The 15,306-nt window shown below is 40.6% G+C and overlaps 1 protein-coding gene across 18 annotated transcripts in view, besides 2 other annotated features; it reads right to left on the reverse strand.

Annotated features, from left to right (window-relative positions):
- The window catches only part of EXOC2 (exocyst complex component 2), a 207,986-nt gene that overhangs the window by 57,619 nt on the left and 135,061 nt on the right, over window positions 1–15,306 (reverse strand). For all 18 annotated transcript variants that reach the window (NR_073064.2, XM_017011022.2, XM_017011023.2 and 15 more), the window contains 5 exons: window positions 13,712–13,792; window positions 13,182–13,241; window positions 12,455–12,516; window positions 11,082–11,148; window positions 6,403–6,519 (listed from right to left, as the gene is read on the reverse strand). Coding sequence is in view for 17 of the 18 variants with exons in the window: in XM_017011022.2 (XP_016866511.1) it covers window positions 6,403–6,519; window positions 11,082–11,148; window positions 12,455–12,516; window positions 13,182–13,241; window positions 13,712–13,792 (387 nt within the window). In the remaining variant the exon portion in view is untranslated. The remainder of the gene's footprint in view (window positions 1–6,402; window positions 6,520–11,081; window positions 11,149–12,454; window positions 12,517–13,181; window positions 13,242–13,711; window positions 13,793–15,306) is intronic.
- Window positions 9,137–9,958: an enhancer, noted in NCBI's record as "H3K27ac-H3K4me1 hESC enhancer chr6:551909-552730 (GRCh37/hg19 assembly coordinates)". NCBI's record gives its function as "activates a minimal SCP1, AML or CMV promoter by ChIP-STARR-seq in naive H9 embryonic stem cells {active_cell/tissue: H9 hESC(naive)}" and the evidence as "EXISTENCE:reporter gene assay evidence [ECO:0000049][PMID:30033119]".
- Window positions 14,503–14,690: a silencer, noted in NCBI's record as "fragment chr6:557275-557462 (GRCh37/hg19 assembly coordinates)". NCBI's record gives its function as "represses an EF-1alpha promoter that drives an FKBP-Casp9 reporter gene in an ReSE screen in K562 erythroleukemia cells {active_cell/tissue: K562}" and the evidence as "EXISTENCE:reporter gene assay evidence [ECO:0000049][PMID:32094911]".

A 15,306-nucleotide genomic window follows, 5' to 3' on the forward strand; every position in this document is an offset into this window, starting at 1 on the left:
GTATATGAAATGTTCAAGTAAAGATGAGCAGGTGCCCAGGCTGAATGATAAGGTGTTGGAGTAGGGGGACAAAAAGCCATGAGAGAAAGAGGCAAGAGAGCCAGATGAAAATCCTACACAAACGCCAGCCTACGGAGCTTAGCTCTTCAGGCAGTACGGAGTCCTGAAACACAGGAGGAGGAAGAACAAGAGGAGCTCTGGGTTTTTGAAAGCCCATCCTGGACACTCTGGATGATAAGCTGGAGAGTGGAAACGTTTAGACATTAAGCAAAGCAACCGCTAGGAAGGTTCCTACAACACCACGGCTGTCGGATGATGCAAAAGGGCTAAGCTTGGACAGGAACAGCAAATTAGAGAGGTAGAGAAGGATTTGGAAGATGGTTCAGGGGTTGAGTTGAGAAGAAAGACTTGGCAAAAACCATCATGAGGAATGATGTCAAGAATAATTCCCAGTAATGGATGAATGAATTTTAAAATGTGGTGCATATACACAATAGAATACTACACAGCCTTAAAGAAGAAGGAAATTCTGTCATCTGCAACATGGATGGTACTGGAGGACCTTATGCTAAATGAAATAAACCAGGCACGGAAAGACAAATACTGTGATCTCACTTATATGTGGAATCTACAAAAGTCATTATCATAGAAACAGAGAGTAGAATGGTAGTTACCGGGGGCTGAGGGCAGAGTGAGGCCAGGAAAGGGGAGGTGTTGATCAAAGGGCATGGCATGGTAACCACAGTTAATAATAATGTATTGTGTATTTCAAAAGTGTTAAAAGATTTTTAATGTCCTCAACAAAGGTAAGTTGGTGAGGTGATGAATATGTTAATTAGTTCGACTGACTTTTCTATAATGTATGCTTAGGTTGAACATCACATTGTGCACCATAAATATGCATAATTATTATTTGTCAATTAAAAATGAATAAATAAAACAGAAAAAAAGGAGCCATTCCCAAGCTGTGGCTCAGTGATCCACAGTGGCTACTGACTAAGTCAGGGAACACATAAAAGAGAAGCTGTTTTGAAGGAGGAAGATGACTGGTTAGGCCAGGTTGCTTTGAAATCTCGATGGAAACTTCCAGGGAGGACGTCTGGTAGGAAACAGATCGAAGGTATCAGAATGACATGCAGGTCAAAAATAAAGAATCTGGGAATCATGGGCATCCGTCAGTGATGGGTGAAGCTGTGGAGGCAGATGAGGTCGTCTACAGAAACTGCTGAGTATGAAGAGGAAGCAGACAAATCAAATGCTCAGAGAACAGAAATACAGGGGATGGTACCACAATTATCTACATTTTGTTGGCTTGGGTTCAAAGTTTTTGGCTTAGGAATGCCACACCCTACCCAACTGGAGAACCAGCTGTTTTACTCCTTATTTCCTGCACTTCCCAGCTTTCCAAAGAGATGTGGTGCCTTTCCTCCGCTCTCTGAAACAGCATCTGGAATGTGAAATCTTATGTTCTTTCTTGCTTTGTGAAACCTTTTCTCAGGTACTTTCTGTATTGGGGAGGTAGCACTTTGTAAATGACAAGGTCTCTGAGTCCTTCTGATGGGGTATCTCTCTAAGTATGTATGTTTATTCTTTCCCTTCCTGTTTGAACAAGAAACTCAAGGCAGCCAAATAGGGTCAAAAATTAGGATCAGTGTTTTGAAAGCAGAAACACATCTGATCAACTTATAATTTCTGTCTGTAAGATCTTAAACTCTGAAACAGATTAAGTTACAACTTATTTATTATATAAAATAGCCTGTAAACAAAATTTAGCTGATTTTGTTTATACGTATAACACAAGGAAAATGAAACACATATATATAGAGATAATACAGCAGTGAAGACACAAAACTGTACTCACTCACATCTAGGTATTCAAATGGTTTCCAACTTGAAATTTAGTGATATTCAAATAAGCTACAATAATCAAACATGTAAAATACAGTACATGCAGTTAAAGCAACGCAAAACTCTAGAATCAGCTGCTCAGCATAAAGGAACTTCCCTGGACATATAAGAAAAAGGAGCTGCCCCTCCACACCTTTCACGCCGGAGTTTCTCAAAGAGATTTACAGGCTTAAAATAAAACTTCAGGCCGGGCGCGGTGGCTCACGCCTGTAATCCCAGCACTTTGGGAGGCCGAGGCGGGTGGATCATGAGGTCAGGAGATCGAGACCATCCTGGCTAACAAGGTGAAACCCCGTCTCTACTAAAAATACAAAAAATTAGCCGGGCGCAGTGGCGGGTGCCTGTAGTCCCAGCTACTCGGGAGGCTGAGGCAGGAGAATGGCGTGAACCCGGGAAGCGGAGCTTGCAGTGAGCCGAGATTGCGCCACTGCAGTCCGCAGTCCGGCCTGGGCGACAGAGCGAGACTCCGTCTCAAAAAAAAAAAAAAAAAAAAAAAAACTTCAATTAAAAATTTAATGCCAGCCATGTTTAATGTCTACAGGCTTCGTCAGGTGAAAATCTGGAAGTATACAAATTCTGAATTAGATGCTTATTTTTAAAGACTGGGACAGATTAAAAAAGTATTTTATATATGTAAAAGCACTCCCTGGAATTATGTAATTATACCTACCACAATAAAATTATACGCTGAAGTTTATTAACCATACAACTCTGGTTTTCCTTTCTCAAAGGTATGAAAGAATTTGGTTGGTGGCAAATTTGGTTTGCACACTTAAATTGCAACTTATTTGCAACATGTATCTTAACTCTCTAAGAGCCTTCAAAATTAGTTCTTCTAGAATATAAACAGTCAATAACAGAAGAAAAAGCGCTAACCTCCTAAATAGAAAAAGGCATGCAAATTAAAATACAATGAAAGCCTATTTTAACCTATCGAATTAAACATCGTAATTAAAAAGATGACAGAAATGTGATGAGATCAGCTTCCAAAAAGCTATCTGGCAATATTTACCAAGTACCTCTGGGGCTGTGAATCTACTTCAGGATTCTATCGTGAGGAAGTAATTAGACATGTGATCAAAGATTATCTTCACTTCTCAGTAACAACAACAAAAATTAAAAATAACCTTAAGGTTACTAGTATGGGAGAGGTTAAAAATACTACGTATACCCACATTAACAAATGTTATAAAGCCATAAGACACATTTTACAAAAATATTAAATAAAAATGGAAAAGTACTCATGATAGAATATATTCAGTAGAAAAATACAATGTCAAATGAATTCAGAAAAATGTTTCTTTTTTTCTCAAATTCCTTTTCACCATGTTTCATATTTTTATAACATATAGATAGGATATATAAAGTCATGGTTACTATAAATATTAAAATCGTAGTGTCTACCTTTGGTTGGTGCATTATAGATTATTTTAATTTTTATTTTTTTTTAGACTTCCCAATATTTTTTCTTTTTAAGAATAACGGTTGGATCTTACTTTTATAAGTTGAAAAAAAAATGCATGACTGGAAAAAGACATCTCCAGGACTTGAGCAAAAGCTAAATGGTACAGGCAATACTAATGAAAATGCATGCACATGGCAGGACGCTCCCTGTTGGCACATACTTCTGGATTCAGACAGCACCGAGTCCACCAAAGGTTTATAACGGGGCTTATTTTTAAGGAGGAACAATGTAGAAGAAGATGATTTGGATACCCTGATCTCATGAATTATCATTCAATGTGGTTTCATAAAGGCCAAAACAATGTACACTAATCAACCAGCTTCAGGTCCTATTTTCATTTCTTTGGTGTGCAGGTGACCCTTGAACACCACGGGTCTGAACTATGTGGGTCCACTTATACACGCATTTTCTTCTGCCTCCGCCACCCCTGACACAGCAAGACCAACCCCTCCTCTTGCTCTTCCTCAGCCTAGTCCACATGAAGATGAGGAGGATGAAGACCTTCATAATAATTATTCACTTCCACTTTATGAATAGTGTTAATATATTTTGTCTTCCTAATAATTGTCTTAACATTCTCTTTTCTCCAGCTTACTATATTACAGGAATACAGTATGCAATAGATAAACAAAATACATGCTGATAGGCTGTTTTATTCATAAGGCTTCCAGCCAACAGGAGGCTACTAGTAGTTAGGTTTTAGGGTGGTCAAAAGTTACACTTAGATTTTCGACTGCACAGGGGGTTGGCACCCCAACCTCTGAGTTGTTTAAGGGTCAACTGTATTATCATGAGACCAGTTTTATTCTTTAAGATGCATGGTGCTGGACCAGAAAGCATTCCGGATTTAGAATGAGAAAATGTAATTTTGAGTCCTGCCTTGCTGTGCTCTTACAGGTCAAGTCCTTGACCTCTCTGGGTATCTTTCCCTATGAAGATTATGGAGCTGATGATACCATTCCTGATTTCATGCACCAAATAAAAGTGTATGTATAAAATCATTCTAGCTTCAAATGTCACTGATCATTACATTTTAATAATCCCCTAAAAACATTTATTTGTCTCCTGTTCCTATATTAAGACTAATTTATCTCCATGTTTCAAGGTGAGGAACAGGTGAAGGGAATGAAAAACTGGCCGTTTAATGCCTTTCCTGGCGTAAGTACCAGTAAGAAAGCAGGAGGAAATATCCCCGGAGGAAACACTTGGCCTGCCCTGGCTCACACCAGAGGAGTCTGAGAGAAGGTCTCACACCCAGTGACATGAGGTCCCCCTATGAGAGACCCTCATCTTCAAGTGCGGAAACAGAGAGGGAATGAATAAGCCATCCACTGTGACCTGTGCCCTGTGACTCTTCTGGGATCGATGCCCCTAGAATTATTTGTCTTTTGGAGGGAAAACTATGAAAAACAGTGGCAGAGTCAGCAGACCTTTCCCTTTGATGCCAGAAATAGACTTTACTTGGTTGGAATCATGAAATTAACAGATTCACAAATGAATAAAATCAGTGCAAATGTTATCATCTAAATCTAGTTTACTATCTATTCATTCTAAACACAACTGAATTTCAAAATATTCAAGACGGTCGATGAAAAAAAAATCCAAATTCTGAGTGGGAAAGAGCCTACCATTTATACTGCTAAATCTCCAGATCCTTTGTATTATCTTGGTCTCAAAATGATCTGGACAAAGACAAGGAAGGATATGAAAAAATCTTTTTAAGAATTAATTTAATTCTACTTCTTAGTGATATAAAGTGAAGCAACAGTTCCTACTTAGTACTGCAAAAAACCTAGAGAAAACCAAACTTGCTTCTTTTACATGCAATTCCTAATCATTTCACATATTTTAAAATGATAAATAACATTTCTCCAATAAATATATTCATGTCATTGTTGTTATATAAAAACAAAGCAACCACCTTCTACAAATAGCCACTTTTTTACTGCAAGATAGCACCTTGCAATTCTTAACACAAAAATTTCTGGAAATAAACTAGACATTTGGCCCCAAAGGCTTAAGTCACGACATTTCTCATCAGGATGATTAATCTTTACAAAAAGGCAGGAAAACAAGACAGGGCCGCCCACTTTGACATTTTCACTCTTTGAAAAAAAAATCCCAATGTAGTTCACGAACTGGAACCACCATTTATAAAAAGTAGGTAACCCTGAGTGCGTGTTGATTATAAGATTAACCAGATCATTATCGTTCTCATTCTTTGCATTGAGAAAACTGTACTGACATTAAAAAGTGGTACTAGCATAGTTTTACTGAGAAATCTGATAAACCTTTGCCCAGGAACCAATCAACCTTAATAACAAGGTTACTTCATTTTTTCCTTTTCTGCTTAGTTGAAAAAAATATAAACAACAAAGTGTAACATTAAAAAGAAAACTCACTCCATTAATTTCTACTGGACTCCCTTTTGCCCAATCTTTCTGCGTGCAGTGATTGGAGAGTGGGGAGGACATATTTTTCAGGTAGGATGCAGAGCATCCTGCAGCTGTTCTGAGCCAGCGGCTGTGTGTGCACGCGTGCATGCACAAAGCAGCAAAGCAAAAGCATCCTTGAGGTCATACAGAAAGGGAGAGAGGAAGGAGAGGTGTGAATACGCAGGAAGAGGTTTTTCTGCAGGCTCAGGGAGTTTGCTGCTGGCTGTATCTAAAGCGTTCACCTAAAAGGAGTCAAATATGAGATAATTCTGAAAGATCTGGGTTTGCTGCCTTTCCCTCCTCATTTTCTTCCCTCACTTTTGAACAGCTCAGGTGAGGAGTAAACCAGCTGTAACCTTGAGGGAGCTCTGCTCTAGAGAAAAGAAAAGGGTATTAAATTAACCATTCAAGGTGAACCATGGGAAGGAAGGGAATCATCCAAAGCTTTAGCAGGGTGAAGGCGGGGAAGCAGTGTGGCTGTGGGGGCGGCACGCAGAGGGAATGGGCACTGCTAGCAGAACACAGGCTAGGAAACAGCTTGAAAACTGAGCTGGTAAAACCACCGACTTGTGCGTTTTACATGAACTCGCTTACCTGTGTGATTTTTTCTATTCCCTGGAAGTTGTGCTTTTCAAAATGTTCTGCGATATTTAGGAAGGTGTGACGTTCTAGATAGCAGCAATTACTTAGGACTATCAAAAGGCGCTGTTCCTAAAAGCAAAACAAATGTTTAGAAAATCACCTTTATGGTGCCAGAGAGAATAGCTGATTAACACTTGTCAAGTTTAATTATAATCTCTGCTCTTTAACGTCAATATCCAATGCTTTGCTTTTCTTGGCTGCTTCTTTCCCAATATTATAACATAAAGAGAAACACAGTAAAATCCTGCAACTCTACTATTTGCTTATAATTACATGCAATATACTAAAGAATCAAATATTTCCTTTAAGACTTAACAGCTTGGATGGAAAAACAGATTGAGAAAATTCCATTAACTAGGATCAGCTGGGAACTGGGATCAGTGTTGCTTATGAAAAGTGTTCTACTATATTGTTTACTTAATACTTTGTATACAAGAAAAGGCTACAGGAATATTTTTAATAACTAATTACATTTAAAATGTAGAAACTATTATAAAGTAGTTTATAAATTTTTATAACCTGGAACAGAATTACACTGCCATATATCTGTATGATGGGCTCCTTTAAATACCTTAGGGCATTAAGAATTGCTTGTGTTTGCAGAAGAAAACAAGGAATAATCTCCCTCTAATGGGGAGTGAGGGTCACTGAGGGTGGAGGACTCCACCTTAGGACACGGTCAGTGTTGCCAAGAGGAAGGGGTACAAGCCAGTTACTTCTACATTCTCCAGGGTTCTGTCCACCTAAAGTAATTTCTTACGAAAACTACCAGACACAAATGCTGATAAACACAGTGTCCTTTCACAGTTCAAGACTACCTGGTAAATAAAATTCCAGGAATTGCCCTTTTGCTGCTGGTGCGGTTCACCGAGGCACCCAACCTGTGCTCCCGCAGGCAGGCGGGCCTTCTCTGGAACAACTTTGACTAATCTAGAGCCTTGAGTTAGATCCTTTGACTAAACCTTTGGCAAAAAACACTTTCCATCACATACTCTGCATGCTCTTTCTGTGCATAACCAGAATAACTTACAGGAAAGTAATTCGATATAGTCAATGTGGAAAGAGCTTCCTATTTTTTTGGATATGTGAAAAAAGATAACATCCTTGAATTTAGTCACCAAGAGTATTTTATATCTCCCAATAATTTCATTCAGCTCAGCAGTTTCCAAAAACTTTCTAGATTCTTTTATTTTGAATGTTCCCATCTTTATTTCTGGCAGAGTGTGTAGCCTATTCACTACCTGTTTCTAGTCATCAACAAACATAAGTAAAAGGCCTAGGGAGTATTAAAGGATCTTCAAACAAGCGAACGGCCTTGAGTTACTCTATGGCTAGGAAATGGGGTATAAGACAAGGTAAATAGGGTTGTATTATGTATGATACTCCTCCACGTTTCGTGAATAAACGGCCAGAAGGAAAACAGTGAATAAGCACTGGAAACTCGCCCAGGTGAGGGAGGGACGAGGACGCTACATTCCCCTCCAGTCCCCGGGCCTGGAGTCACCATGACGCAGTCCCTGTAAGGACAAGGAGTAAGTAAACCTCACATTTCATCAGCTGCCTTCAACATGCTGTTCGCCTCAAAAACCTCAGCTGGTTGCTCAGTTTTGAAAATCAATCCTTAGTTACTTTTTCCTTCCAGAGTCAAGTCTCCTTATCTAGCAGACCTGAGCCTGCCACATCTTCTCTGCCCTGTAAATTCTCTTTGTTTTTCTCACTGTAATTTGCATGACTCTTAAAAAACAGAAAAGCTATTTGAGTGATTTAAAGTCTTCCTCCTATAAGTACATTTGTTGCTCAAATGTAATCATTCAGATGCAATAAAAGTGGAAAGAAAAACTGAACAGCACAGACTCTGGACCGTGGATGACTAGTCAAAAGCTTATTAACAACTAAGATGGAGACGCACGTTTGAAAACAACGCCGCCCATCAAATGTAGCACGTGCAGGTGATGAATATGGTCTTAGATTATTTCAGTGATCCCCCACGTTCCGTTCAGGAGAACCCGCTCAGTGATGTGCCTGAGGTCACACAGGATGCGAACCAGTGTCTTCTGACTCCGAATCTAGATACCTTCCTTACCACAGCTGCTTCCCTTCTGGATAACAGAACAAGACCCTAAGAAGATCGCACCAAATCTGATGAGATAGCTTTCAATGGAGAATACAGAGGAACTGAATTTGGTCACAAAAAAACACTGGAGACTAAGGCAGGAGAGAGGAGGCCCTGCAACCTGCAGAGACACATGTGAGGTGCCTGGGGGGATAGCTGAGAATAGGCTCAATGTGAGTCAGCTGAGAGCTGCCGCGTCACAGGGAGTCCAGGGCTGACTCTTGTGCTCCACCCACTGGAAGAGGCACAAGAGCAGGACCACCCCAAGTGCAGGGACACAGCACACCAGGAGGGAGTGCCTGAGGATTCAGAGTGCCAGCAAGGGGAAGACTCCAGCAGTCTCCATTCGGGAGGCCCTCTCCTGCAGCCCTGTCTCCACAGGACTCCCCTAGCCTGCCGCATTTCCATGCTCCACAAGCCCCTCAGCCCTTGGGGCTGCTAAGCATTCCTTTGTTTAAATGGGATTTTCCATCCCTCTCAGGAGTGCTGCTCTATCTGGATTTCCTTCTGTCTCTCTGATTAACCCTTTTCAGGGCAAACTGAGGCTCTCTGCTACTGGTGAGCCCATAAATACTGGCACCCTCAACATTATTTTTATATATTTGGCCCTTCTCTCATTCAGTGAGGGTAGGGTTCCCCAGCTTCCCTCGCTTTCTCTCCGCGCCCTGTTGGAGGAGCACAGAGTGCCTTGGCGGCTCTGACTGGGCCAGCTGACTGCCTTCCCCTGCAGGCTTGCACCCAAGTGGGGACCATGACCTCCCAGGCACCGATGAAGCTCTTTAAGCTATAGCAGAAAACACAGAGATCAACCACGTTGCTAAATAGCAGAAATCAGCCCCGCCCTGAGGCAAATGCTTTAAACCCTCCCATGAAGTCCACACCCAGGCCCCCTCACTGCCGACATACCTAGGCAGGACGTCGCTCCCTGCTTTTCCTTGTGAGGACCAAGTGCCGCCCCCTCTGTGTGTCGTTCCCTAATGCTTTGCACTGATGACCCTGCATTTCATGCTTCTTGCTTTGGAAGGCCAGCTGACCTCATTTTGGGGTGGCTCGGGATGGCCCGCCACCACTCTTGGGGCGACTCCACCTGCAATTCTGGGTGAACAGAAGAACCAGCATTTTTCTTTTGTTCAGCCAGAATTCTTGGTGTTCTTATCTACTCCCAGGCCTTATATATTGCTTATATACTGCTGATTCACAAATCTGTATCTAGATTTCTCTCCTGGGATCTAAACAAGGACATTCAATCACCCACTGGATATCTCTACCTGTATGTCACCCATTCAACAACAACAAAAAAAAACCCAGGTTCTCGTGAGCCTGTGTTTTCCCTGAATTTCTGTCTCAGTGAATGGTATCATTCTCTACCTAGTCATCCAAGGAATTGAATCTAGAATAATTTTTTAAATTACTTTGACCAAACTATATTTTTTCTAATATACCAAATCCCTTATTTAGGTATTCATACTTACATATATAGTAGAACATTTGGGTCAAACAGTTTTACCTTGAGACAGACACAGACCACACACACACACACACACCCCCCCTTCAAACTCATGACAAACCAGAGAGGGTTATTTATTATTATTATTTTTCTGAGATGGAGTCTCACTCTGTCACCCAGGCTGGAGCACAGTGGAGCCATCTTGGCTCACTGCAAGCTTCTCCTCTTGGGCTGAAGCGATTCTCCTGCCTCAGCCTCCCGAGTAGCTGGGATTACAGGCACCCGACACCACACCAGACTAATTTTTGTACTTTTGGTACAGACGAGGTTTTGCCCTGTTGGCCAGGCTGGTCTGGAATTCCTGATCTCAAGTGATCCACTTGCCTCGGCCTCCTAAAGTGCTGGGATGACAGGCATGACAACCGTGCCTGGCCAGAAAGGGTTATTTTATTTATGATAGCTAGAGTTTGAGTTTCAACAGATGAATTTATACACATGATAATATATGTTTGTGAATCTCCTTAAATACATGTATACATTTTAAAAAGTGTGTGTGTATATATACATATGTATATATGCAGTGTATGCATACATCTGTTTGTGTATAAGTGTGTGTGTGTGTGTGTGTGTGTGTATCTATTTGAGGCTGTGCTCAAATAAAAGGCTACGATGGAACTTATAGAAATAAAACAGAGAAAAGCAGAACTACTCTGGTTGAAGAGGCAGGAGCCGTGAGGGGGTGGGCATCCTTGTCCTCTGCCTGCTCCCCAACCCACCCTGGCAACTCTCAAGCACCAGGAACTATAAGGGCACCCATTTAACACTCGGAAACCACACAGATGCAGACAGTATATGGAATGACTGACACTGCAACTCCAGCTAAAAGTGTTAATTGTGAAATTCATATAAATTATACTTTCCTGAAAATTTCACATAATAGAGCTCCAAAGCACAGCACAGTGTCCTATACCACGTGCTATAGCAAGGATGCAGGAACACAGTCATTAGATTTGCGAAATTGTTGTTACACAGTTTTAAAATGGTTTACTTTCTAGTTATCGTCTGACTTACTGAGGTCAAGCTGAAGTCTTCATGGATACTTCCAAACAAGTCAGGGGAAGAAACATCAACAGAGAGACTGAACATAGAAGCAAGTAGGAACAGTTACAAATAAAGCACTCAAATTCAAAAATGCAATGAACTATACGCAAATTTAAACGTGCAATGAATTATATGGAAAACATTTGGTGAAAGTCACATAACTTTTTTTTTTTTGAGATGAAGTCTTGCTCTTGTCCCCCAGGCTGGAGTGCAAATGGTGCGTTCTTGGCTCACTGCAACCTCCTCCTCCTGGGTTCAACCCATTCTTCTGCCTCAGCCTCCTGAGTAGCTGGGATTACAGGCGCCCGCCACCATGCCTGGCTAATTTTTATATTTTTAGTAGAGACAGGGTTTCACCATGTTGGCCAGGCTGGTCTCAAACTCCTGACCTCGTGATCCGCCTGCCTCGGCCTCCCAAAGTGCTGGAATTACAGGCATGAACCACCATGTCCGGCCAGAAACTTTTAATAAGTGTTTTAGACTTAACAGTTAACAGCTCGAAGAAGGTACTATGGATAATCTGTTAACATGGGCAACATGACATTTAATCCATAATATGAGGGATCTGACTAACAACCAATTCCTGGTGAAATAATGAGCTAAAAATATGAAATCAAATCAAAGAAAACCTAGGAGAATTAAAAACTTATTGGGTCTCTAGGGAGGTGATAGTTTTATATACTGAAAAGCAAAAGCCAAAACCAGTAAATAGACAAACATGGATAAATTCCCAAGTTGTCAACTGAAGATATAAGAGGCATTTATTTCAGTATTATCTGTGTCAGAGCATAAAGTACACAGAAGTTACACATGCCAAGTATAATTCAGAAAGAACGGATTTCTTAAAAAAAAAACCAGCACTTTACAATGCTGTCCTATACAACAGCATTATAAAAGAATTACCATATGGATTTGTAAACATCAAGAGCTAACATGTGTCCACTGGAGCTCCAATAACTAAGCTTGACATAATTCTACCAACATGCTTAGTCTCTAGCAAGAGCAATGGTGCCTCCCCCTAACACCAGAATTGTAAAAATCATCAACTAGGAGTTACATATTTACATTTAACACTTTATTATTTATAAAACCTGTTCTTTGGATAATTAATAAGCTAATCATGTCTTCAATTTGCTTGATTTGTCTCTAATAAGGCAAAGATGAGTTGAAAAGATAAACTATGGAAAGAATATAGGTCGAATATAAAAAAAAACTATTACTTCGATATGAACAATCTTTCTTTCTTACTAGAAGTCTTAGGATATAAGACCAAGCATAAAACTTGAGCCTGTATTTTTAATTCTCTTAAATGCATTAATGAGATTAATTTAATTTTTACTTACTGTGTAGTATCTATATCTGCATCAGGCTTGGTGCTCAACTGTTCCAGACAGTATATAAAAACCTAAGTGAAAACATAAGTTTCAGAACTCTCAGAGGAATGAACTCCTAGACATTAATCTATTTGGACACTAAAGATAACTTTACATAAAGTAGAATTATATATCTCATTAGTGGTGTGGTGTTGTGTGCATGTATGAATATGTGTATATACTGTATATGCCCCATTAATGACAGAAATATATATCCCAGCCATATCTATCACATAAGTAATAGACAATTAGAAGTGCCTATGTTTTGATCAATTATTAAGTTTGTAAAGATATATTCCGGAAAAAGACTTTCTCTTATTCATTCACCCACATTCTCAACTTTATGTGCCTGCAAAGCACTGGTCCCAATAACAATACTTTATACCCTAGATATAATGTGAACAACTAAATATCATTTAATTTACGTTGTGCTCGAACAGAATACATAGAAAGTACCAAGAGAACACAAAAAAGGGGAGCATAACATAAATGAAACATTTGGGTATTGCTAAAACAAGTTGGAATTAATCTTACATTAAACTTTGTTACCCACTTACCTTAAACTATTATGTACACAGACAAGATGAAAAAAGAATACCTATTTGGTGAACGTCATCTGCAGATTATAAATAGGAGAGGGGTTGACTGACACTTAGTATTATTTGAGGCTTTCAGCATTACTGCTTTCTATTATTACCTGCATTATATTGATGCTTAGCTGGCAAACCTCCTCCTGTGTTTTAGGTTGTTGGAAGACCTGTAAGGAAGAATTTTGATGAAAATTTTTGGACTTTGCTAAGAAAAGGTTTTTGTATATGAAGTTAGATATGAACAGTTAAAACGTGGAACGCTGCTGCAGGAGTGGTGCCCTTCCTATAAAAGGAGGCGTGCGAAGAGTGGGCCTACTGGGAGGTGTTCCTTACTGTAGTGACTTGGGCTGGAGAAGACAACGCAGTCCTGGGCTGATGGTCAAGAGCCAGGCCCATCAATAGCTGTCCACAAAGTGCTATCACTGTAACCACTCCACCTACAACACCTGCACTCACACTTTAACTTGCATCGGCCTGGCTTGGAATCGGAAATCAGCACATCTACGCAGTTAAACTAAATGGAACAAGCAGGCGAAGAGGGAGAAAAGATCTTGCAGTACGATGAGTCAAAAATTTACAACTATGATTCCCAAGGCTCCCTGGGAAACTGGAGTCCAAGCGGAGCTGGAATACTTACACTGGCCTCTCCCGGCTTGCACTCCAGAACCCCCTTCAGTGACTGCAGAGAACACACGATGCACTGTTCAAACTGACATGGCTGAAGGGAAAACAGCATATTGTAAAACTCAAAAATGAGCACTGGCTGTGAAGACATGTTTAACACAAGCGAATATGGCCCCAAGCCCCACATTTTCCAGATTAATGGAATGGAACAGACACACGATCTGAAAAGTCATCTCCTAGTCATTGAGTTTCAGAGGTTTGGCATATGTTTTGTACTTCGTATTTTAGAATGAATCAATCTTGAGACTCCAAAGTATATCTAATTCAACTACAATAAAACTCAGATATGACTAAAAATTTTCTTCAAAATTCTACTCTTCTAAGAGGCCAATATACAACGAGGAGCAGATATAATGAGTTTATATTTTGAATGCTAATTCTGAAGGATATTCTGGGATGAGCTGAGTCTCCTAGATCTTCCACATCTCTGGAACTGTTAAACAAAATTTAATGATAATAATAATGACCTAGAGGATGTACAGGATCTTTATATCAGATAGATTGTAAACAGTCATTTTCTATCTACATTAAGTCAGAAAATGAAACCTGAAAATATGCCCAACCAATGGCATTTCAAGACAAGCTAGAATGAATCTTAGCTCCTAAGGGTGTTTAAGTTTTCACTTTGTGCCAGGAACTACTCTAGGTTAAGGAAGATACAGGAATAAGTAAGACAGAATTCTCATTATGTGTATATTTCAGGCAGAAGACACGATCATGAAAGTCAAAGTTGACAAAATGGTTTAAAAAAGTATAGAAATAAAATAATTAAAATAGTAAGTGTCATGAATAAAAGAAGTAGAATTTGGCCGGGCGCAGTGGCTCACGCCTGTAATCCCAGCATTTTGGGAGGCTGCGGTGGGCGGATCACGAGGTCAAGAGATTGAGACCGTCCTGGCCAACATGGTGAAAACCCATCTCTACTAAAAATACAAAAATTAGCCAGGCGTGGTGGCACGCGCCTGTAGTCCCAGCTACTCGGGAGGCTGAGACAGGAGAATCGCTTGAACCTAGGAGGCGGAGGTTGCAGTGAGCCAAGATTGCGCCACTGCACTCCAGCCTGGGTGACAGAGAGAGACTTCATCTCAAAAAAAAAAAAAAAAAAGAAAAGAAGAAGAACTGAGAGAACAATCATGATGGGGGATCGGCTGTAAATAGGATGGTCATAGAAGGCCCCCAAGACTGTGAGAACATTGATGCTGAGACGGGAAGGGGAAGAGGGACCAGCCCTTTGAAGGAACAGGGAAGGAGAGGAGCAAGTTCTCAGAGGACGACAGTGTACCCACCCCGCAGAGTGGGCAAGAAACCACTGGGAAAGCAGGAGCACAGGAAGAGCAGCGTGTCACAACCAACAAACATGAGCACAAGTCTTGAGAGATGGGGTAGGAGGCCAGGCTTCATCCGGAGCAGCGAGACAAGAGCAGCGTGTCAGAACCACCAAACATGAGCACAGGTCTTGAGAGATGGGGTAGGCGGCCGGGCTTCATCCGGAGCAGCGAGACATGGAAGGCTCAAGGCTCAACCAAGCAGTTGTGTGCAAAACACTGG

The sequence above is a fragment of the Homo sapiens genome, chromosome 6 (assembly GCF_000001405.40).
Source record: "Homo sapiens chromosome 6, GRCh38.p14 Primary Assembly".
In the NCBI taxonomy this organism is placed as follows: Eukaryota; Metazoa; Chordata; class Mammalia; order Primates; family Hominidae; genus Homo; species Homo sapiens.